Source organism: Homo sapiens, chromosome 7 (genome assembly GCF_000001405.40).
Source record: "Homo sapiens chromosome 7, GRCh38.p14 Primary Assembly".
NCBI classification, from domain to species: domain Eukaryota; kingdom Metazoa; phylum Chordata; class Mammalia; order Primates; family Hominidae; genus Homo; species Homo sapiens.
The window spans coordinates 1,297,949-1,323,279 of record NC_000007.14 but is presented as its reverse complement, the minus strand read 5'-3'; the positions used below and the strand labels follow the sequence as shown (position 1 = coordinate 1,323,279).

The following is a 25,331-nucleotide window of genomic DNA, read 5'->3' as shown; positions in this document are numbered from 1 at the left end:
GGCCGGCAGGGCCCGCGGGCCCGCGAGTGGGCAGGGCGGCCGCGCACCTGTCTGGGGCAGTGGGCGAGACGGGTGCCCCTGGCCAGCCCCGGGTGGGAGGCGCGTGGAGGGGCCCAGGGGTCTCCCTGCTGTCTGGCAGGGGCAGGAACAGCTTCAACTCAGCCACCTTGCCCTCTGCGATGGCTGCAGGCTCCGGGCACCCCTGCGCCTCTCTGGGCCTCAGTTTCCCCATCCAGAACATGGGAGTAGATGAGCCACTAGGCAAGTTTGCCGGAAGCAAAATAAGGCTTTGGCGTGTTGCTTGCTGCTGGTAAACGCTCTCAGGAAATAAAGCCCTGGGATGCTGCGTTTGCCAGGTTCCGTGGTGCAAGCACTCCCTCCCAGCCGATGTCCAGCTGCCGAACTGGGGTGGCCGAGCACGGAGCCGGGCAGAGCTGCGGATAGTCAGCTCCCACGGATGGGTCCCAGCTGGCAGGAGGTGGCCCCAGCGCCCCTGCCCACGGCCAGCAGCCAGCGTGGGGCCTCTCCAGCCATAGTCTGACCTCAGCGAATGCTTCCCTTCCTTCTGCAGCGAGAGTCCTGGGGTCTGGGCCGCATGGTAGGAGGGCTGAGGGGGACCTGAGTGGGCTGGGCTCCCAGGACCCAGGCGGGCTGCCGGCATCGGGGGTGAGGGAGGGCGGGGGACCTGGGGGCAGGAGCAGGGGGGAGCTGGAGGGAGGGACACCTGGACACCAGGCTGCCACGTCCGGGGGCCAAGGAGGGTCCTGCCGCCCTCCGGGGTTCATGCTCCGTCTGAGGCTCAGGTTGTGGGGTGTCTGTTGTCACTGGTGGCCACACTAGGCAGTGGCTGGCCTGACTGGGGGCAGCTGGATTCTGGGGGGACTGGGTTGAGGGGCCAGCAACCAGGCAGGCAGTGAGCCTGGCAGGGAGTAGGGAGCCCCGTCGGGCCTCAGCTTGCAAGCATCTCTTCAGGAGGGCTCTCCGGGGAGAAGGGCCTGGCTTTCTGGCCCCGCCGTCATAATTGCTCAGCAGAGTGGCCCTTGGGGACGCTTCTGAGGTCTGCCTCATCCACTCGAACTCCTGCGCACTCAGGGCAGGGTCCCCTCTCAGGGCCTCCCCTTGCACGCCCCCCAGAGACGGACAGCTCAGCATCTTCCAGGCAGCTCCAGGCCACCCTCTATCTCTTGCCCAAGCCCTCAGGGCTCCCCTCGGGACACAAGTGGGGCCTCACCCCCACAGGGAAGTGACTGCCGTCCTGGGCCTACAGCGATGGTCCCAACCCTGGCCCTGCTCTGGGGCCGCCCCACCTCCCTTCCTCCCGACACGCAATCCACTCCTCTGTTTCTCCCGAGCCCCTCACCACAGGCCTGGTCTCCTGATCTCCCGGTCTGTCCCCCGCCCCCGTGGGAGGCTCCTGCTGCCCTGGGCTCAGTTTGGGTGGGGGACTGACCCCTCCCTTGTGTTGTCCCCGTCACTGGGTCCCCTGAGCCGCTGACCACCCTCCTTTGGGAGTTTTTCCTTCCAAATCCAGGAGGCCTTGACCAGCTGCCCAAGGGGCAGGACACCAGTGTCCGGTCCTGGCTCCCAACACTGCCCCTCAAGCGGTGGGGGGAGTGGCCAGCGTTCTGGGCTCCCAGACAGACTCACGCAGCCGGCCCTGCCAATTAGGAACTGAGCACAGACCGCGCAGTCGATGGGGACGTGGCTCCCAGCACCACTGCCCCCCGCCTGGAGGATCGATGGTCCTTCCCATCCTGCGGGCCACGGAGAGCGCGGCGCCTACGGCTGGGGCCCAGCAGGCCTCCTCGGAGCGGAAACAGCCTCTCCGTGCCCCAGGCCGGCTCCCCCCAGGGCGGAGTGGGTGGCACCCTCAGGCCCTCCCCACCAGCCCTAGGCAAAGCTGTTTGTCCCCATGGAAGTCAGGAACATGGAAGCTTCTAGAGCCCAGGGAGGCCCCCTCCCCAGGCCCCTGGTCCCACAGACCCCTCAGCGCAAGCCCCCAGGCCCTGCAGTCCCAGCTCTGCCTGACCCCCAGGCCCAGCTCTAGTCCCTCCTTCTCAATCCTGGGTGGGAGATGTTGCTGCCTCAGCTGGGAGCAGCCTTAGAACAGCCTGGAGGGGGCCTCAGCCCCAGGGGGAACCAGGTCCCCCCACTCGGCCCCAGCTGTCGGGTCTGCTGCATCCCCTCCCCCAATGGCAGCAAAGTCCAGCTGGGGCCAGGCCCAACCCCAGCCCAGGCTGTTGCGGGGCAGAGTCTGACTGCCACAGTCAGGGGGCAATGGTCAGCGTCTTCAGGGGGTGGGGAGCTCCTCAGGGTCTGCAGCGCCCCCTCCCATGCCCTCTGGGCACCACTGCCCATGCACACACATGTCCACATGCAGGCAAGCACGTGTGCACTCAGACACAATGAGCACCTCCCACGTGACAGTTACCTGAGGTTGCACATGCACACGCTTACACACATGCACATGCTTGTACACACATGCATGCACTCACACACGGACACACACACATGATTGTACACACATGCATGCCTCTCTCACACAGACACGCTTGCACGCACTTGACATGCTTACCCACGCTTGCACATGTGTGCACACACGCAGGCGGGCACGCCACACCCAGGACTTCAGTGAACACACGCTCAGGCGTGAGCACACCCAAGCACGTGTGCAAGGACGTTCACCCTCTCAGGCACCTCCCCCACCCCCCCAGAGCCTCAGGCTCCCACCACGACATGAACGTGGTCACAGGAATGTGCACAGACACACACATCAGATGCACACACACAGACCCGCACACATCAGATGCACCCACACAGACACACACATCAGATGCACACACACAGACACGCACACATCAGATGCACCCACACAGACACGCACACATCAGATGCACCCACACAGACACGCACACATGCACCCACACAGACACGCACACATCAGATGCACCCACACAGACACGCACACATCAGATGCACACACACAGACACCCACATCAGATGCACACACACAGACACACACACATCAGATGCACCCATACAGACACGCACACATCAGATGCACACACACAGACACACACATCAGATGCACACACACAGACACACACACATCAGATGCACCCACACAGACACGCACACATCAGATGCACCCACACAGACACACACATCAGATGCACACACACACACACGCACACATCAGATGCACCCACACAGACACGCACACATCAGATGCACCCACACAGACACGCACACATGCACCCACACAGACACGCACACATCAGATGCACCCACACAGACACGCACACATCAGATGCACACACACAGACACCCACATCAGATGCACACACACAGACACACACACATCAGATGCACCCATACAGACACGCACACATCAGATGCACACACACAGACACACACATCAGATGCACACACACAGACACACACACATCAGATGCACCCACACAGACACGCACACATCAGATGCACCCACACAGACACACACATCAGATGCACACACACACACACGCACACATCAGATGCACCCACACAGACACGCACACATCAGATGCACCCACACAGACACGCACACATGCACCCACACAGACACGCACACATCAGATGCACCCACACAGACACGCACACATCAGATGCACACACACAGACACCCACATCAGATGCACACACACAGACACGCACACATGCACCCACACAGACACGCACACATCAGATGCACCCACACAGACACGCACACATCAGATGCACACACACAGACACCCACATCAGATGCACACACACAGACACACACACATCAGATGCACCCATACAGACATGCACACATCAGATGCACACACACAGACACACACATCAGATGCACACACACAGACACACACACATCAGATGCACCCACACAGACACGCACACATCAGATGCACACACACAGACACACACATCAGATGCACACACACAGACACACACATCAGATGCACCCACACAGACACGCACACATCAGATGCACCCACACAGACACGCACACATCAGATGCACACACACAGACACACATAAGATGCACACACACAGACACGCACACATCAGATGCACCCACACAGACACGCACACATCAGATGCACCCACACAGACACGCACACATCAGATGCACCCACACAGACACGCACATGGATCCCTCTGCAAGTTCACTTGCTCCCTCGCCCGGGTGCACATGTTAACACACACGCCCATTTTCACATGCTAAGCACACACACCCATTTGCACACACATCCTTGCTCCCAGTCCCTGGACCTGCGTGTCTGGGACAGGTGCCAGGTAGGCCTCCTGGGACCGAGTGGGCAGCACCATGGCCTGTCTGGGGGCTGCCTTCTGAGTCCCACAGGTCACATTCTGGGACGGTGGGCGTGGCCCAGGCCCGTTGTAAGGACCATGTGCCTCCAGCCGGCATCGGTGGGTGTGATTGTGTCGGGGTGAAACGGAGCCGCACCCCCTACCTGCACTCCCCACCAGAAGTCGTCCTGTGACTTTGACACCTCGGGAGCTGTGGGCCCTCCCAGAACCCCGCGTGTGAGCTGTGAGGGGGACGCCTCAGGACGCAGGTATCAGAACGGGACGGGGACGCCGTGAAGGACACACGAACCTCCTGGAGGGCTCCCTCCAGCCAAAACTAGGACCATTTGTGCATCCAAGTTGAAAATGATTCACACAGATTCTAAGTCAGTGAGTGAAACAGGTGTCCATACCGAAACGGAGAATAAATAAGTGGGGAGATGGACAATTTGGTGACAAACGGGATATCCAGTCTCAACGGGGAGTCACTTTACAGTAGGGACACCTGGCGGACACCCCTGAATCAAAGAATCAAAATGAACAGCGTCCGTCAAGGCGCAGCCAAAACCAGGCGTACCTGGGAGGATGCCCCAGAGAGGAACCAGGGTCCTTCTGGGCTGCTCCCTCCAAATTACAAAACCAACGCAGAGGAGACGGCAGACACATCCCAGGACAGGCGCGCTCTGCAATGGCCTGTTACCTCCCAGAGCGCAGGGGTCCTGGGGGTCAGGGGGAGGCCCGGGCAGGGCAGGGGGCATGGGAGAGGCGTGACATTGGTGTGTCTCGTGTGGCTCTGTGCGGGTCCCTCTGCTCTGAAGTGCGTTTCTGGGGCAATGGGGTCTGAGGAGTAGAAGGGAGTCGTGAGCCTGTGTTCTGATCACCTACTGCTTCCTAACAAACCCCCCCAAAACGGAGTGACTTAGAACAACACCAGCTGCAGGGTCTCTATCTATTTTGTGGGTCGGTGATCCGGGCAGGGTTCAGCCAGCGACTCTTGCACGGTCTCCACAGTCCCTCACTGCCCAGGATAGGGCTGGGGCTGAGCTGAGGAGGGGCCTGGGTGATTTACACAGGACGATGAGCTGCGCGCCCACTGGTGACCTCAACAGCACGGCGGTCCCAGATAATCAGGTTTCTTCCAGGGCAACTAGGGAGGCCCAGCAACGGGGTCCTAAGAGACTAAAGAGAGAAGCTGCGGGCCTCTTCTTTTTTTTGAGATGGAGTTTTGCTCTTGTTGCCCAGGCTGGAGTGTAATGGCATGATCTCGGCCCACTGAAATCTCCGCCTCCCGGGTTCAAGCGATTCTCCTGTGTCAGCCTCCCGAGTAGCTGGGTTTACAGGCGCCCACCACCGCGCCCGGCTAATTTTGTATTTTTAGTGCAGATGGTGGTTCTTCATGCTGGTGAGGCTGGTCTCGAACTCCCAACCTCAGGTGATCTGCCTGCCTCAGCCTCCCAAAGTGCTGGGATTACAGGCATGAGCCACCATGCCCGGACTCTTTTTTTTTGGGGGGGGGGGGACAGGGTCACCTTCTATTGCCCAGGCTGGAGTGCAGTGGCATGATCTTGGCTCAATGCAACCTCCACCTCCCAGATTCAAGCGATTCTCCTGCCTCAGCCTCCTGAATAGCTGGGATTACAGGTGCACACCACCACACCCAGCTAAGTTTTTGTATTTTTAGTAGAGACGGGTTTTTGCCATGTTGGCCAGGCAGGTCTCGAACTCCTGACCTCAAGTGATCCACCTGCCTCGGCCTCCCAAAGTGCTGGGATTACAGGCATGAGCCACCGCGCCCGGTCAAGCCTCTTCAAGACCTAACCTAGCAAGTCCCGGGAGATCCCTCCACATCCACGAGAAAGTCACCAGAAGGCCGGGTGTGGTGGCTCCTGCCTCTAGTCCCAGCACTTTGGGAGGCTGAGGCTAGAGGATCACTTGAGCCCGGGAGGTCGAGGCTGCAGTGAGCTATGATCACACAACTACACTCCAGCCCAGGCAACAGAGGAAGACCCTGTCAAAAAAAAAAAGAAAAAAAAGAAAAAAAAATGATTGCAATAGGACTGGAAAAAGGAAAGAAAGTCCCTTCAATCCAGCACCCAGCCTGTGTTTCCTGATTTTGTAGAATGAGTATCATGTATTCGGGGAAAATGCAGCTTGTGTCAACAAGACATTCTAAAATGGTTCAGGAAAGACAAAGTTCTTTGTACTGTTCTTACTATACATAGGAAGAATATATACTTTTTTTTTCTTTTGAGACAAGCTCCCATTCTGTTCCCCAGGGTGGAGTACAGTGGCACAATCTCAGCTCACTGTAGCCTCCACTTCCAGGCTCAAGCAATCCTCCCACCTCAGCCTCTTGAGTAGCCGGGACTACAGGCACCCATCACCATACCCAGCTAATTTTTTTTTTTTTTTTTTTTTTTAGAGATGGGTCTTGCTATGTTACCTAGGCTGGTCTCAAACTCCTGGGCTCAAGCAATTCTCCCACCTCAGCCTCCCAAAGTGCTGGAATTACAGGCATAAGGCACCTGGCCTATTCTTACAATATTGTTTGTGTTTGAGATGGTTTCAGAGTAAAAACTAAACAACCTCTTCCACGGCCCCAGGGCCCACAGGGAGAGGACTAAGCTCCAGCCTGGGCTTCTCCGGCCGCTGCCAGCCCCACCGCGTGCCCCCCCTCACCTTGGCCACCCACTCTGCCTGCCCACAGTGCACCCGGCTTTCCACCCTCCATCCTCATTCTTCAATTCCTAGACGTCCTTCACAGCCAGCTTCAGGTACCCCCAGACCCCCAACCTGCCCCTTACCCTCCAAGAGTCTGAGACGCTGAACACTGAGCCTCCGGCAAGTTGAGTCGGTTCAAGATCTCTGACCAACTCCAGGCTGGAACCTGACAAGCTTAGAGCACGAGGGTCCTGTATTTTGCCTGCTGCAGCCTTGCAGTTTTACAAATAAACAGAGGCAAAGAAAGGGGGCGTGAAAACATCGCTGCAGCAGTCCTGCCCAAGGAAACAGGTGTGAGCCACGCAAGCATGCGATTTTAGATTTCCTAGAAGCCATAGCCAAAAACAGCCAGGAGAAACAGATGAAGCTACTTTTTCTGTGATTTTTGCTTGTGGGTTTGTTTTGAGACAGGGTCTCTGTCTGTCACCCAGGCTGGAGTGCAATGGCACCATCTCGGGTCACTGCAGCCTCGACCTCCTAGGCTCAAGTGATCCTCCCGCCTGAGCTTCCCAAGTAGCTGGGACCACAGGCGCACACCACCACATCCAGCTAATTTTTTATTTTTTGTAGACATGAGGGTCATGTTATGTTGCTCAGGCTGGTCTTGAACTCCTGGGCTCAAGCAATCTGCCCACCTCAGGCTCCCAAAGTGCTGGGATTACAGGCGTGAGCCACCACGCCTGGCCTGAAGTTACTTTTAAGAATATATTTTATTTAGTCCTAAATAGTCCAAAGAGTCATCATTTCAACATATTCTAAATATAAACACAATTGTTACTGAACTATTGTGTGTTCTTTTTCTCGTACTATGCGTCTGTGACTCAGTGTGCATTTTACGTGGACAGCACGGCCCCGGTCAGCGTGGCGTGCCCAGGCCTGGGGCTCAGACTCCCATCTGGGTGGTGCGCGTCTCTGGGGGTGACCACTGCATGTCCCGAGTTACATTAACCCCCTTACAGCCCTGCATGGGCTACGGCCCATTTCAGAGATGAGGAGACCGAGGCTGGGAGGGAGGCTGGCTGGGCGCGCCTCCAGAACACAGGGCTGAGCCAGGAGTGGCGCTGGGATGGTGTCAGCACCGCGGTGTATTTCAGCAGCTGGAAACCTGAGGCCCAGTGAGGCGCTGGGCCCTCGGGGTCATGAGGCCTGGGACCCGGCCTCCCCTCTGCCTCTGCCCCCAATTCCGCCCACAGCCCCGCCCCTCCCATCAGGCCCGGGGCCATCCCTCTGTGCCCCCCTTGCCATCCCCAGGTGGGCCTGGGTGTTGGGTGCTCAGTGAGGACGCCTGTCTCGGCCTGGGTAGCGCTGTGTGAAGAGCCGCAGCTTCTCCTAATCCTTAGAAAAATAGCAACCAGGCTCGGAGTTCAAACACGCAAACCCCACTTAGCCGGCCGAGCCAGGAGCCAGGCCTCCCCTGAGACTCCACCACAGCTGGAGGCAGGGGCTTCTCTGCCATCCCCCGACACTCGCTGGGGTCTCCCCTACAGCATCCAGGTGGCCGGGGCTGGCACTGGGCAGATGAGACACCAGGCCATGGGAAGGGCCAGCAGGGCCCACCTGACATCCCTCCAGGCAGCGCAAGGCCAGGGCTCACCCAGTGCAGACAGGGAGAGCAGTGGGGAAGAGGGAATCCACCACGCTCTCCGCGCTCCAGGATTCCTGCCCCCGCAGGCTGGGGTCTCCTCCCCACTTCACAGAGGAAGAAACTGAGGATCAGAAAGGGGAGCCGACCTGTCCAGCGTCACCCAGCTGGTGAGCAGAGACAGTGGGATTAGAAGCCAGGTGTGGACGCAACATCCCCCAGGCCCAAGAGCAGGTCGGAGGCCACGGGGAGGGGAGACTGGGGGTGTGATGGACACGGCTCAGGTAGCCCCCAGGCACCGGCCCTGCTAGGCCCCACACTGGCCCAGCTGGGAGACAGCAGGTGTGGGAGGGTTGGGGCTGCAGGGAACCTGAGTGGCCTCCCAAGGGAAGTGCCAGCCACAACCCCCAATGAGGCTCCGAGACAGACCCTAACCTGGATCCCTGGCAGGCCCCTGTGCACCCAGTATCCCCTAAAATCCACGCTGGGGATTTCAGCAGCAGGATGGGGCCACCTGGACCCTCCCCTGACCCTGGATCCCTCGGGGGACAGACGGACAGACACACATGAGAACGAGCAGCCAGGCAACCCGCCACCCCGTCGTTCCCACAACCTTCCCAAGGCCCTGGCTTTTGGTCTTTGCTCCAAAACCAATCAATTTCTCGCCACCGCTGCCTAACAGACTTTCCTGATGTGGCTGTCAGCGTTAAAAACGACCAGGCGACGTCAGCCAGCCACCCCTCCTCTGACCCATCCCAGCCCCGAAGTGCTGGCCCAGGGTGAGACTCCAGCCCAGGGTCAGGCCCCTCCCACCCACACCTGCCCAGAGATGTTTTCGGTGACACGGCTTTGCTGATGCCTAAAGCACACGCCTGGCCTGCTTGACAGGCTCCTGGCCAAGGCACGGTGGCTCACACCTGTAATCCCAGCGCTTTTGGAGGCTGAGGCCGAAGAATCACTTGAGGCCAGGAATTTCGGACCAGCGTAGGCTACAAAGAGAGACCCTGTCTCTACAAAAAATAAAAGTAAAATAATTAGCAACAGAGGCTAGGCGCAGTGGCTCACACCTGTAATCCCAGCACTTTGGGAGGCCAAGGTGGGTGGATCATGAGGTCAGGAGATCAAGACTATCCTGGCCAACATGATGAAACCCCGTCTCTACTAAAAATACAAAAATTAGCCAGGTGTGGCAGCGCATGCCTGTAATCCCAGCTACTCTGGAGGCTGAGGCAGAAGAATCGCTTGAACCCGGGAGGCGGAGGTTGCAGTGAGCTGAGATCGCGCCACTGCACTCCAGCCTGGACGACAGAGCTAGACTCTGTCTCAGTAAATAAATAAATAAATAAATAAATAAATAAATAAATAAAATAATTAGCCAGGCATCGTGGCTTATGCCTATCATCTCAGCACTTTGGGAGGCCGAGGCAGGAGAATTGCTTGAGAAGTTCTTGAGAATTGGTCTCAGAACTTTGAGAGCAGCCTGGCCAACATAGTGAGACCTCATCTCTACAAAAAACTTAAAAATTAGCCAGGTGTAGTGGTGCAAGCCTGTAGTCCCAGTTACATGAGGGGTCTGCGGCGGGAGGATCACTTGAGACCAGGAGGTCGAGGCTGCTGTGAGCTACGATTGTGCCACTGCACTCCAGCCTGGATGACAGAAGGGGAGGGCTCCCAGGAAACTACATTTCTCAGCCTTCCTGGCACCTACGTGGGACCACAGCATCAGTGCTGAAATCCGTAGAACCAAGCAAAAGGCACTGGAGTCGGCTCGGACCTTCCCGCACGCAACTCCTTCTCCATCTTTCCCCTGCTCCACCTCCCCATTTGAGTGACACTGGTACTCACAAACCACAGGCTGGCAGGTCCAGGCTGCTCACAGGAATGCGCCTGGAGGCCTGAATGACTGCATGGAGCAAAGCCACTTGGGTCAACCCCAACTGCCATGTGATCAAGAAATTCCATCTTGAATCTGGGCAGCCACTGAGACTTGGGGATGCTTGTTATGGCAGCGAATGTCTCTTACCCTCATCTGTTGGTGCACATGGGGCGCTGGGTCGTGTGGCCTGTGTGCAACCACACATGTGTGCAAACATGTGCTCAGGATCACACACACCCATGTGCACACCAGCTCCCAGTGGAAGCCCAAGCCCGGCTGTGGATCTGCAGGGGGAGGAGCCGTCCCACCCCACCCTGCACCCCACTCTGTCTGCCAGGTGGGCTCGGGGTGGTGGCAAGGTGCCAACCCAGTGGAGCACAGAGGGCCAGTGGGGTACCCGGGGAGCTCCCAGCCTGGTGCCCACCCCTGTCCCTGCCCAGCCCAGGCCTTGCCCTGTGGCCTGGCTCCCAGAACCCACAGGGAGGTCAGGTGTGGCACGAGGGGCTGCCCAGCCGGCATGTGGCCCCCCGGGAGCGGCTTAGCCGTGATTCCGCGGGTCAGCGTATCATCCCAGCGCCGAGTCTATCAGCCAGATGGTCGCTTCAGCAGGGAGAGAAAAACCTGACACGCCATTTCAAACCGATTTCACGGCGGGCCTCCGGAGAGCCCCCACAAGCTCCTGACAGCCCGATCTGTTGTGAATAAATATGACAAAATTGCCAATTATGACAGGGAGGCTTCAATGTCGGGTGGACCAGGCTGGCTGTGGCCATGCGCTCTGGGGCCGGCACCACCAGGGAGACAGCCCCGCGGACAGAGAGAGCTGAGCCCAGATGACGGCGGTGCTGGGCCGCGGCCAGACGCCACAACAGCAGGCCCTGGAGGAGACAGCCGCGGCCGGCGCCTGCCAGCCCCCTGCCCACACCGCCCAGCTACGGCTGCTGCCCCAGCCCATGGCTCCAATGCCCCATATTTGGACTGCCAGCCCTCTGTTACCTTCAGGCGCTGCCAAGCAGGTCCTGGGCAGGGCGATGGCTCAACCAAGAAGGGGAGCATGCAGGTGGGCGCCCAAGGCCCGACTTGGCCCCAAGGCTCTGCCACCCTCACCAGCCCTGCTGGCCTCCAGCATCCAAAGCCCAGGTCTCAGAACATCACTCCCTCTTTGGCTCACACAGCAGGCCCCAGGCCCAAAGTCAGGCAGGGCCCCCGGTCGCCAGCAGGCAGGAGAGGCACAGAATTCAGAGCCCAGTACAGACGAAGCATGCGTGTGTCTCCACCTGAGCCCCCTGCCCTCTCCCCAGAAGCCTGCGTGGGTCCTGCCCTCTCCCCAGAAGCCCGCGTGTGTCCTCCTCTTGTCCCTGCCTGCCTCTGCTTAGCCCACTTCAGCCCCACCCGTGGGAAGCCAGGAAGCTGATCTGTGTCTGAGCCCTGTCTCGCATGGACACGTACCCCGGGCCACCCCTGCCACCTGGGAACCTGTACCTGGGTTTGTTTGAATCTCGGATGATAGAGTGACAGACACGGAAACAACCACCCTGAAAGGAGAGGTTACACTCACAGTTCCCCGAGGAGGGGCACATGGCGCGCCATGAAGGGCCGCGAGGGGAAGAGGCTTGGTCAGGAGGCCGCAGGGGCGAGGGGAAGACGCGGATCGGGGCCGGTGAGCAGCGGGCAGGCCTGGGGTTGGAGGTGTGGGTCACTGTGGAGGGTGCTGGGCTGCGGGGGTGGCCTCCGGTCGGCCATAGCCACCGTCACTTCCATCATAATCATCATGTCACCACCTTCCTGGCCTGGGTGATTTAGGGCAGGGAAATATCCACCCGGGAGCGTGACAGCCCAAAGAGGAGGTGGGTGCAGCCTGGGCCTTGGCGCATTTGCACACGAGAGGCAAAGTCGCAGGGGCCTTGGCTGTCCCCCAGCAATCAGCTAGCTCCAGGAGAGGCAGTCCCTCCCTGGCCAGCAAGGCCCCTATGATGTCAACACATCATCAATATAGATGAGAGGCCGGGCGTGGTGGCTCACGCCTGTAATCCCAGCACTTTGGGAGGCTGAGGAGGGCGGATCACGAGGTCAGAAGATGCAGACCCTCCAGGCCAACACGATGAAACCCTGTCTCTACTAAAATGCAAAAAATTAGCCAGGCGTGGTGGCGCATGCCTGTAGTCCCAGATACTTGGGAGGCTGAGGCAGGGGAATCACTTGAACCCGGAAAGCGGAGGTTGCAGTGAGCCAAGATCATGCCACCACACTCTAGCCTGGTGACAGAGCAAGATCCTGTCTCAAAAAAAAAATATATATATATTTATTATAATTTATAATATATAAATATTTATTACATATTATTTATATATAGATAGATGAGAAGAAACATGCTTAAGATACCATCCATCTCCAGGCCTCATCTTCCCTTCTGCAAAATGGGAACCTGGAGTAGGTGAACCCCCACCCAGGTCCGGTCATCTGCACCCCAGACCTCTCAGCCCCTAACTCCCTGTGTCACCTCTGCTGCTGGCCTGACCTTATTCCCTCCAGGGAGGGGCCATAGCTGGTTTCCCCAGCCGGCCACAGCTAGGGCAGCCCCCACGTGGACAGCTCAGTGCCCAGCCAGCTTTCCGCTCCTCCCGCACAACTCACTGGCTGGCAAGTGGGGTCCATCTGCCAAGACCTCAGCCCTAGCCCCTCCCCCAGCCTCCCTCAAGCCTTGGTCCGATCCAGGCTCTGGAATCTCACGGACTCAGGCTGACATATTAGCCCTACCCTTTACTGGCTGAGTGACATTGGGCAAGTCAGTCTCATCTGTAAAATAGGCAGATTCGCACCCACCACACAAATAGCTTCTCTGAAAAGACAGCACAGTGCCTGGTGCATAGAGGACGTTGAATAAATTATAGTCACTGTCACCATGATTGTCACCATCATCACTGTCATCACATCATGATCACCACCATCGCCATCATCACCTCCATCGCCATCACTATTATCACCTTCATCATCACCATCGCCATCATCACCTCCATCAGCATCACTATTATCACCTTCATCAACACCATCACCATCAACACCATCATCACCAGCAGCACCAACACCATCACCATATAACCTTCATCATCATCACCATCACCAGTACCTTCATCACCATCACCATTATCGTCTTCACCATCACCTTCATCACCATCACCATTATCATTATCTTTACCATCACCATCATTATCACCATCTCCATCACCACCATCACTGTTATCATCTTTATCATCACCATCACCACCATCACCGTTATCATCACCGTTATCATCACCGTCACCATCATCACCATTAATATCATCACCAGCATCACCAACACATCATCATATCATCTTCATCACCATCACCATTATCATCAACATCACTTTCATCACCACCATCACCATCATCACCATCATCATCATCACCTCCACCACATCATTATCATCATTATCACTGTCACCACCAACACCATCACCTCCATCACCATCATAATTATCACCATTACCACTATCACCATTATCATCACCCTCACCTTCATCATCACCACCATTACCACCATCATCTTCAGCTGCAGCTCTCCTCATCCACTCTATCATTACCTCTGTCATCACCTTCTTTGTCTCCAGCATCATCATCTTCATCATCTTCATGCTTGTCATTCCTGTCCCTTCCTCCCTTTCCTTGGTTTCTCAGCTCCCTAGTGACTAGGAAAGCATCTCATTCTGTGGGCCCCAAGGTTCTGGTGCAGGGCCTGAGGCTGCAATGGAAACCCCAGGCTCTGAACTCAAGTAGACCTGGATTTGAATCCCGACGCAGGCCCTGGACAGTGATCTAAGTTGTGGACTGCACAATCCTAGGAGACCTACTCCCATGGTGCCCACTCAGTGACCAGCTGCATGACTCTGAGCAAGTTGCTTGAGGTCTCCATTTCCTCCTAAAAAAACAAGGTTGATTTTCACAGGACCACTCTGAGGCTTAAGTGAGGCGACGCAGGTAAAACCTGGGCACTGGGCAGGGATAGAACAAATAGCCTGCAATTGATCACGTTGTTCTCCAAGAGTGCACCTGACAGCTGTCTAACCACCCATTATCCTTTGGAAAAGACCCCTCTGTGACAGCCCGAGACTCTTCCCAAGGGCGGGGAGCCCCTCCCTCCTAAGGTACCTCCCCTTCCCTGGGGAGCTCAGGATTTCTGCTGACGGACTGGCCCCACCCTCCTGCCCTGTGGGTACATCTGTTCCTCCTCCCTACGGTGAGAATGATGTCCCCCAGCAACATCCTCCTCCCGAGGTGGTGACCCCCAGGAGGCCCCCCTACTCTAAACCCCATCTTATCTCCTCTGAGATAGCAGGTCCAAGGTGACCCTCTTTATAGGAAAACATTTAGAAAATCCAAGAAAGTACAAAGGAAAAACAAGACTCACCCATGATCCTACCACCCATGATCCTACTGGGCGATTCATATTTCAGATTACCAAAGTGATGTAATACTTCACAGAAAACAGAAAAAGATAATGAGCTCCACGTCGCTGCCTCAGTGCCACACTCTCTCATGCCATCCTCTTCATCCACGCGTTCTCGGGCTGCATATGTTTTTTACATCATTACACCCTTAATGTGCCCCTAATTCCATACACGGCTTCCCTCGGCATCATGCTGTAGGCGTGTTTGTACATAACCACCCAGTCTTCGCAATTAGCACTTTTAATGACTGCCTAGTATTCCACCGAGTGTGTATGTCGTAATCTACTAAACAACTCCCCGATTGTTGGACATTTCAGCTGCTTCCAATTTTTTTTTGGTCATCAAAGATAATGTTGCCATGAATATCTTTGGCTTAAATCTCTCCCCATATTGTGGATAATTTCCCCCGGAAGAGCATCCCAGAGGCGGCGTCACTGGGTCAGAGGTGCTGAGCATTTCCATGGCGCAGAGTGCATGTTGCCGAGTCACTCTCCATAAGGGCTGGCCTGGCTTCGGCACCCCCAGCAACGTGGTTGCCTCTTGTCTCACTGCATCGCCCCACATGGGAGAGTCCTGGTTTTAAGGGCTGGTTCGCTAAGCAGTAGGCATGGCGCCTCCGATATCAGGGTCCAACCCACACATCGGGCCCCCATCGAACACCATCGACTGGTTTTGACCCTTGCCACGTCCCTGGATAAGATGGTGGACACACTGTTGCAGGCTCGGAGTTCATGGTGGAGCCAGGGCGGGGGCAGGAGACGTTCATGGCTCCTGGGGGGTGAGCCAGGAGAGGGGACATCAAGGGCCGGGATGGGGCCACAGCAGGTGAGCTGCAGAGTGCAATTCCCAGGTTTCTGTCCTGCACATAAGCTCATCCCCCTTGCAGCAGGATGTAGGTTTGGTGTCCCAGCCTCTCCATGAACTGGTCATCAACCTGGCTGCTCAGGCTGGGGACCTGGGAGTGGGTTTTGTACCCCCCTCTCTCTCCCTCTCTCGGTACATCCATTCATTGGCAAGGCCTGGTGGCTCTATCTGTCTTCCTCCATCAGCCAGCCTGTGCTGCCCACCTCTCCGGGGCACCTGGACATACCCCACACCCTCCTCACTGGTCTCCCTGTCTCTGCTCTGTCCCTTGGGCCCCTTCTCTTCAAAGTAGTCATGGTGGGCATATTGAATCCATGTCCTCCCATGACTGAATCCCACCAGCATCTTCCTGTTAAACGTAGAAGATGAGTCACACATCTCAACAGGCCTCCCAGGCCCTAGAGATCTGGCTCTGCTCACCCCCACCTCATCCACCCCCCGCCCCTCTGCCATACTGGCCTTCCTCTGTGCCATGGCCTCTGCCTGTGATGCCCTTCCCCAAACCCCACATAACTATCCCCACCTCATCCTTCGGGTCTCAGCTTAAATGACACCTCTCCGAAGAGCCTTCCCTGGCCACCTGAGTAAATGCCCTCCTCCCATATGTATTCCCTTCCTTCATATATAATTCATAGATCTCTTCTCTTGTTTGCTTGTTTTTCTCCCCCACTGGTACATGAGCTTCATGAGGTCAGGGGGTTTTGCCTGTTTGGTTCATTACTGAACAATGAACCAGCACGATGCCCTGCATTTAAATTGCTCAATGAATGTGTGGTGAGTAAATAGATGGATGGGTGGGTGGATGGATGGATAAATAGGTGAGTGGGTGGATGGATGAGTGAGTGGATGGATGAATGTGTGGGTGGGTGGGTGGGTGGATGGATAAATAGGTGAGTGGGTGGATGGATGAGTGAGTGGATGGATGAATGTGTGGGTGGGTGGGTGGATGGATGGATAAATAGGTGAGTGGGTGGATGGATGAGTGAGTGGATGGATGAATGTGTGAGTGGATGGATGAATGTGTGGGTGGGTGGGTGGGTGGATGGATGGATGGATGGATGGATGGATAAATAGGTGAGTGGATGGATGGATGAGTGAGTGGATGAATGGATGAGTGGATGGGTGGGTGGATGGGTGGATGAATGGGCGGGCAGGTGGATGGGTGAGTGGATGGATGAATGTGTGTGTGGGTGGGTGGATGGATGGATGGATGGATGAATTGATGGATGAGCGGATGGGTGGGTAGATGGGCAGATGGGTGGATACAGATGGATGGGTGGCTGGGTGGATGGATGGATGAATGGATGGATGGATGAGTGGATGGGTGGATGGATGGGTGGATACAGATGGACGGGTGGCTGGCTGGATGGATGAGACTGGATGGATGGATGGATGGATGGATGAATTGATGGACGAGCAGATGGGTGGGTAGATGGGTAGATACAGATGGATGGGTGGCTGGGTGGATGGATGGATGAATGGATGGATGAGTGGATGGGTGGGTAGATGGGTGGATACAGACGGGTGGATGGATGGGTGGATATAGATGGACGGGTGGCTGGATGGATGGATGAGATTGGGTAGATGGATGGATGGTGGGTGGATGGAATGAAATTGAAACCTGTACAAAAAGACTGAAAGGTACTGAGGAAGAGAAGAAAAATCAGGAGAGGGTGGTATCCCAGGGGCTGGGGAAAGAGTGTCTTTAAAGAAGGAGGCAGAGACACCAGGCCTGTCTTCGTCTGCCTTGGCTGGTGCCTGATGCCTTCAAAGGGGATGAAGACAGGGAGCTGGTTTGGCAGGGATCCTACCCAGGAGGCTGATGAGCTCAGTCTTTTATTTTATAATTTAAAGATAAATTTTACTTTTTAGTTTGAAATAATTTCCAATTTGCAAACTAATACCGAGTACTCCAGTACACCGGCACCCAACTTCTCCTAGAGTCAACGTGTACATAGCCAGTGGTGCACCTGCCCCCAACCTCTCCTAGATTTTACATCTACGTAGCCGATTGTATGCAAGCCAGGTCTGCTCGATAGCATTTGCCGATTTCCATGGTGTAAATACTCCCACCAAGGCCAATTTTAAGCTACCAACGGTTTAACAACTGGCTTGCAAAATTCCTGAACATTTAACAATCAACTCTCAGAAGACATTATGAGCTGCTCTAGCAAACCATGGTACAAACCATGCACATGGGTCTCAGGTCTTATTTTAATCTCATCAGTTGTCTTGCCAACATCTGAGTCCCAGGACCCCACGCCGCAGGCAGCTGCCTCCTTGGCCTCCTTCATTCTGGGTACCAATGAAGGATGGTTCACATGTTGACATTTGCTAAGGGACACTGGCCAGTTACTTTGGAAAACACCCCTTGGTTTGGACGTGTGGTGTTTCCCCATGATCAGTGCATTTCTGCCAGGGAACGTAACAGAAGGATGCTGTGTCTCCTCGGGGCTTTGGAGCAGGGGTGCTGGGCTGTCTGGCCTGTCAGTTGCAGGTGAGGTTAATTGACAGCTTTGTTACCCTGATGTCTGTTGCATTTCTCCAAGTTTTTTTCTCTTTGTCATTAATAATTATCTTCAGCCTTTAAAAGGAAATAAATTCAGACCAGGCTCGGTGGCTCATGCCTATAATTCCAGCACTTTGAGAGGTAGAGGCAGGTGGATCGCTTGAGCCCAGGAGTTTGAGACCAGCCTGGAAAACATAGCAAGACCCCATCTCTACAAAAAATACAAGAATTAGCTGGGTGTGGTGATGTGTGCCTATAGTCCCAGTTACTTGGGAAGCTGTGGTGGGAGGATCGCTCGAGCCTGGAAGACGGAGGCTGCAGTGAGCCGGGATCATGCCACTGCACTCCAGCCTGGGTGACAGAGCGAGACCCTGTCTCTAAAAAAAAGGAAAGAAATTCTGACACAGGCTACAGTGTGGGTGAACCTTAAGGACATTTGGTCAGTGAAATAAGCCAGACCCAACAGGACACAGACTGTGCCATCCACTCATACGAGGTCCCTAGATCCTCAAATCCACAGAGACAGGAAGTAGGATGGCCGGTGCTCGGGGTTGGGGCAGGGGGATGGTGGGGAGCAAGTGTTTAACGAGGACAGATCTTCAATTTGGGAAGAGGAGAACGTTCTGGAGATGATGGTGGTGATGGACGCACACAAATGTGAATGTACTTAATGCCACTGAACTGTGCACCTACAACAGTGAAGAGGCCGGGCGCGGCGGCTCACGCCTGTCATCCCAGCACTCTGGGAGGCCGAGGTGGGCGGATCACCTGAGGTCAGGAGTTCGAGACCAACCTGGCCAACATGGCGAAAACCCCTCTCTACTAAAAGTACAAAAATTAGCTGGGCGTGCACCTGTAATACCAGCTACTCAGGAGGCTGAGGCAGGAGAATTGCTTGAACCCAGGAGGCAGAGGTTGCAGTGAGCCAAGATCGCACCATTGCACTCCAGCTTGGGCAACAGAGCGAGACTCCATCTAAAAAAAAAAAAATTAATAAGCACCTAGGGGAGGAACTTTGAATCACTTCCGCAATTCTCTTCATATTTTGACCTGCAAAATTTTTCACGCTGATCTGTGATTTACACCAGCTCTCCCTCCCTCCCTCCCTCTCTCTCTCTCTTTCCTTTCGTTCCCTCTCCTCTCCTCTTTCCTTTCCTTCCTTCCTTCCCTCCCTCCCTCTCTTTCTCTTTCCTTTCGTTCCCTCTCCTCTCCTCTTTCCTTTCCTTCCTTCCTTCCTTCCTTCCTTCCTTCCTTCCTTCCTTCCTTCCTTCCTTCCTTCCTTCTTTCTTTCTTTCTTTCTTTCTTTCTTTCTTTCTTTCTTTCTTTCTTTCTTTCTTTCTTTCTTTCTTTCTTTCTTTCTTTCTTGTGTGAGACAGGGTCTCTCTCTGTGGCCCACACGAGAATGCAGTGGTGCAATCATAGCTCCCTGCAGCCTCAACCTCCACGGTTGAAATCATCCTCCCACCTCAGCCTCCCAAGTACCTGGAACTACAGGCACGTGCCACCGTGCCCGGCTAATTTTTGTATTTTTTGGTACAGATGGAGTGTTGCTATGTTGCCCAGACTGGTCTTGAACTCCTGGACTCAAGAGATCTGCTCACCTTGGCCTCCCAAAGTGCTGGGATTACAGATGTGAGCCATTGCACCCAGCCACGTTTTCAACAACATCTTGGTGCCAGCCTCTCCCTTCTGGCATGCAGGAAGCCACGCTGCTCTACCCATGGAAACGCGGTCAGTGATGATGGGGCTCCAGGACCAAGAGCAGCCAACTCGGGAGCTGGCAGCCCTGCACTGTGGGAGGCGCCGTGCTGGGCGCTCTACACCCCCGATTTGAGTGACCCCCAACGGATGGAAACCCAGGCTCTGAGAGTGCCAATCCACCCAGCATCACACAGCTCCTGCCAGGACATGCCAGAACAAGTTCCTAAGAGGCCAGGCTCCTGTCCCCTTGGGTAGCTAGGCCACTCCGGCCTTGGTCTGGGGCCCAGCCACAGTCCAGTTTTTCCAAACAACCATAAACACCATCTTTATGGAGGATGGGGAGGGCAGAAGAGGAGACCTCCTTCTTCACCTCAGTGGGCTCTGCTCCTCCCAGGACACAGCCTATCTTCAGGGGCTGTTGGAAGCCTCAGGGCACCCCTGGGCCCAGCATCCCACAATGGGCTAAGACTTTGGTGGCTATCTGCTGGACATGACCATGGAGTAAGCCGGGCCCAGCAGGGATTCCCTCCCACCAGCCCAAGCCTTTTAGAAAACGTTTTTAGAGCCGGCCACAGCAGTTCACACCTGTAATCCCAGCACTTTGGGAGGCCAAGGCAGGAGGATTGCTTGAGCCCAGGGATTGGAGATGAGCCTAGGTAACATAGTAAGACCTCATCTCTACAAAAAATTTAAAAATTGGCCGGGCATGGTGGTGCGTGCTTGTTTTCCTAGCTACTTGGGAGGCTGAGGAGGGAGGATCACTTGAGCCCAGTGTTTGAGGCTGCAGTGCGTTATGACGGTGTCACTGCACTCCAGCCTGGGCAACAGAGTAAGACCCTGTCTCAAAAAAAAAAAGAAAAGAAAAAGAAAAAAAGAAGGAAATATCCTTAGCGCCCCTGCGGCGATTCCCCAGCCCCTCCTGCCACATTCTCTTTTTAGGGACAGAGGATAACGGCCTGGACAGAGGGATGGGCAGACGGGCCGGGGCCCTTCCAGGGTGCGGCTCTCTCCTCTCGATCCCACGTCTCTGGGCCTCCACGTGGTTTCTCCCAGGCTTCAGACCCAGGCTGACAGTCATTCATCATCCCCAGACGAGCACTGCTTGGAGCCGGCCCAGGCGATGAAAGGCTCCCGGGTCCCCAGGCCCCTCCCCTAGGGCCACCGGCATTCCCTGGGGCTGGGACAGACTCCATCTGTAACAAGCGTTAACAATGACAACAGACCCTGTATTCTCATCTTCTGCCCGCCTGGGACCTGGCCTGTCCTCCGTCTCCTCCCAGCAGCCCTCCGTGTGTGGGGGTGGATGGGTGGGATCATCAGCCCATCATCCAGAAGGAGAAACCGAGGCCCACGGGGTCAAAGGTGCTTACCCAGTGAGCCGGTGGCAGAGCCCACAGCCTCAGCTTACAGGTCCCTACCTGGGGTCTTCCCTCCTCACAAGGCTGCTCCAGACACTGCACGGTCCTGCTGAGCACTCGATCCCCAGGGGAGAGAATCAATCCCCAACTAGAGACTCTGGGGCTTCCCAGAGACAGAGCCTCCTCCCACCAGCAGACGGGAGCTGGAGGCAGGGCTGTCCTGAGGACCAGGGCCCCTGTGCCCTCCCCGGGTGGGGACTGAGCTTTTGCCTCTGGGCCACACGTGCACAGACTGCCCAGCTCACCCTAAATAGCGGTTGTCAGTGGCCGTGGGTGCACAGCCAGGGCAGGCCAGGTCACCCCGTGCGTGAGAACTTCCCGCAGCCTGCCTTCTCACCTGCCCCCATGTGCTCCCCTACCTCCACGCCCCTGCACCCGAGCCCACCGTACCCATCCCCCAGTTGTCCAGAAACCTTATCCACCTGGCCCAGTGATCTGTGCCTGACCACGCAGGAAGGGCTTGGGGGAGACAGACTCAGGGGCCCCCAGCGGAGAGGCCCAGGTTCGGGGCAGGGGGCCGGGCTATGCCTTGGCCCTGCTGCCACCAGCTTCCTGTGTGACCTCGGGCAGATCTCTGCCCCTCTCTGGGCCAAAGCTCACCCATGCGAAATAGGAGAAAATGGCCAGATGGTCTGCAGCTCCGACCAGGCATGAGTGGGACACCTGGGCTTTGAACACCAGAGGGGCACCCTCTGTTACCCAAGGCCCCGGGCAAGTCTTCACCTCCCTGGGCCTCAGTTTGCTCATCTGTAAATTGAGTCAATGAGGCCTTTCCTGGGCCTCTAGGGAGCCGCAGGGCAGAGGAGGCAGTGGAAGAGCTCAGCAAATGCCACGTGGGGTCCATGGCGGACGCCCCGGCCCATCCTAGCTGGTCTCTGCCCTCCAGCGCTCCCCTGGGCGCTGAGCTCCTGCCCAGCATGGTGGCCTCTGACCCGGATTTCCGACCGGGCTCCGTCTCTGTGCACCGCCCCAGCTGACCTGGATGGCGCCCCCACCCCCACCATCACTGCCTCTGTGCCTCTGAGGCCCCCGCCCAGCTGCCGGGCTCAGATGAAACAGGCCCTGTGTTTTTTTTCAGGAGGGGGCGTTAATCTGCTGGAACAGGGGCCTCTCAACCAGCCCGGGGGGCTGCCAGTTCTCAGAGCAGCCAGAGGTCAGGGGTCAGGAAGGTGAGGACAGGGAGGATGCTGGGAGGACACTGGGCCCCTGCAGAGGCTGGGAGCAGGCGTGTAGGGGCCGCTGACCCCTGCAAATTGGCCTGGTGTGCCCTGTGCTGTGCGCAGGGCAGCCAGGAGGGAGCCTCGGTGTCTCCACACTCAGGGCCAAGCTCTGTCTACCTCCTCCCCATCGGCAAGGCTTGCACTCTTCCTGGGACAGGCAGCTCAGCCCCTCACCCAGGGGCAGGTTCTGAGATGGCACAGAGGCAGGTGCCGCAACACTGCAGGTGGAGGGTGGAAGGACTGGGGCTGCCGCCTGCCAGGAAGCTCTGCCCTGAGCTCAGAAAAGTAGGTCCATGGGCAGGCCTCCCCCAGGACCCTGACAGGGCCCCACAGAGAGGGGCGATCTGGGAGGGGCCCATTCTCTTGGTCTCTTTTTTGTTGTTGTTGAGATGGAGTCTCACTCTGTCACCCAGGCTGGAGTGCAATGGTGCGATCTTGGCTCACTGCAACCTCCGCCTCCTGGGTTCAAGTGATTCTCCCGCCTCAGCCTCCCGAGTAGCTGGGATTACAGGCACACACCACCATGCCCGGCTAATTTTTGTATTTTTAGTAGAGACGGGGTTTCACCATGTTGACCAGGCTGGTCTCGAACTCCTGACCTCAAGTGATCCGTCCGCCTCGGCCTCCCAAAGCGCTAGGATTACAGGCTTGAGCCACCACGCCTGGCCCTCTCTCTAGGTTTCTGAGCCACCAGGGGAGGAGGCTTAAGGGCTCTTGGGAGGCCTGGCCCAGCCTGATTTCACCGGGTTCAAGTCAACATCCTTCCCACACACTGGTCTTTGAAAATTTTAAAGATCACCCAGCCTCTATCCATCCCCAGCGGGCATGACCTGCTGAGGCCCCAGATGCCCCACCCTGACCTGGGCACCAAAGGTGTCTGAGCAGAAACAGCTTCTGGGGGCTGCAGAGGAGGCACTGGTACATGTGACACAGCCTCAGCATGCACACCCCTCCCCAAGCACCTGTACGTCAGGCCCACGCAGCCCACCTGATGGGAGGAAGGGCAGGGGGCCCACCCTTGGGGTTCCAGGCCTTGGACACTGTGCACCCCCGCATCACAGCACACAGGCAGGCCCATGCCAACATGCACGGACTCTGGGAAGACACTGGCATGCACACCCTCGGGCCTAGATACCCAGACGTGGCCAGGATTCTTGGCTACCGGTCCCAGCCCTCCTCTCCGGACCTCTGTAGACTCCCTGGGCCCTGACCCTGGATCTGCTGGGGGAGAACTGACTCCCCAGCTCGACGGAGCCCTGTGCAGCTGGGGCAGGGTTCCGACGACCAGGGCACCCCCAGCTCAGCTGGAGGCCAGGCCACGGAGGGGGACGCAGGCCTGGGCAGGAGGGGGCAGCTGAGACGTCCCAGCCGCTGCCCGACCTTGGCAGCTCCCAGCCTTTCCTGCTGCCTCGCCTGTGGAAGGAGCTAACGATTTTTCCAGGTTGGTGGGAGGGACAGGAGAGGTCACGCCGTGGAGAGGCTTTGGCAAGCTGGAGGGCGCTGTCGGAACGTTTGTGGAAAGGGTTCTTCATGGAGAAGCCTCCTTCACAGCCCCCTGGCCCCCTGGGACCCCACGTGCTCGACAGCTGCTGGGAGGGCGGAGCCCCTGCTGTCCCGGCCCCCACAGCCCCCCTCTCCCCCTGGGGTGCAGCTCTCATTCCCCTTCCCAGGGTTGGGGCAAGGAAGGGCCGGGTCTCCTTGGGGACCTGCAGGCTTGGTTCCCCAGGGCGCTGCACCCCTGTGACGGTGTCATTTACTCCCAAGGCGGCCAGGGCACCAGCGTGCCACGCCCGTCGCCTGTCATTTCCCAAGTCATTCATTCTCCGAGCACTTCCGTATGGCGCTCACCTTTGAGAAATCCACATGGCCCAGGGTCTCAGTTCAGGACAGCGGCCCCTAACCCGGGCTGGGAGAACCAGGAGGCTGGACTTGTGCTTCCGATGCACTGCAGATCTTGGGGCAGCTTTGTAACCTCCTGAGCCTCAGTTTCCCCCTTTGTAAGCCGGGGACAGGAATAGTATCTGCCTTCCAGCACTGCAGGAGCCTGTGCCCAAGACTCAGGGACCGCCCCCAGCCTGAGGCTGCAATGCCAAAAATCCTGTGTACCCACGAGTCTGGAGATGTGCAGGCAGGCCCCCCACATCATCCTCAGCACAGTCCCCTGTGACTGCCCCTGCCCTCCAAGCCAAGGCCACCTTCAGTCTGACTTACTGGGCTGCCCAAGGAGCAGAGAACAAGGTCCCAACCCTGCCAGGCCAGGCTCCCTCTTGCCTGTCCCCACAGCCCCTGGTTTAGAGCTGTCCCCACGGAGGCAGGCAGTGCCAGCCGGGCCGAGGAGGTGGGGGGGAACCTTTCCGCAGCAACCTGGGTCCCGGATGCTATTTCAGGCCACCCCACCTAATAGGTGTGATCCCATCTCTGGCCGCCGCTGGGAGGTTTTGCATCAGCTTCCAGCGAGCAGGACAATCTCACTATATGGAGAATGGGTTGGTGACGGCTAATTGATTTTACAGCGGTACCGAAGGACAGACAATGAAAGTGCCATCAATTTAATCCACTATTTAATGGTTCCAATTTAGCCTCTGTAAATGCTCACTAAACTAATTTCTCTGGGTTCAGCAATCTGAAAAGCTATCATA

General features: G+C 56.8%; 2 annotated features.

Moving 5' to 3' along the window:
• Positions 1,777-2,277: an enhancer, noted in NCBI's record as "H3K4me1 hESC enhancer chr7:1360639-1361139 (GRCh37/hg19 assembly coordinates)". NCBI's record gives its function as "activates a minimal SCP1, AML or CMV promoter by ChIP-STARR-seq in naive H9 embryonic stem cells {active_cell/tissue: H9 hESC(naive)}" and the evidence as "EXISTENCE:reporter gene assay evidence [ECO:0000049][PMID:30033119]".
• Positions 21,368-21,869: an enhancer, noted in NCBI's record as "H3K4me1 hESC enhancer chr7:1341047-1341548 (GRCh37/hg19 assembly coordinates)". NCBI's record gives its function as "activates a minimal SCP1, AML or CMV promoter by ChIP-STARR-seq in primed H9 embryonic stem cells {active_cell/tissue: H9 hESC(primed)}" and the evidence as "EXISTENCE:reporter gene assay evidence [ECO:0000049][PMID:30033119]".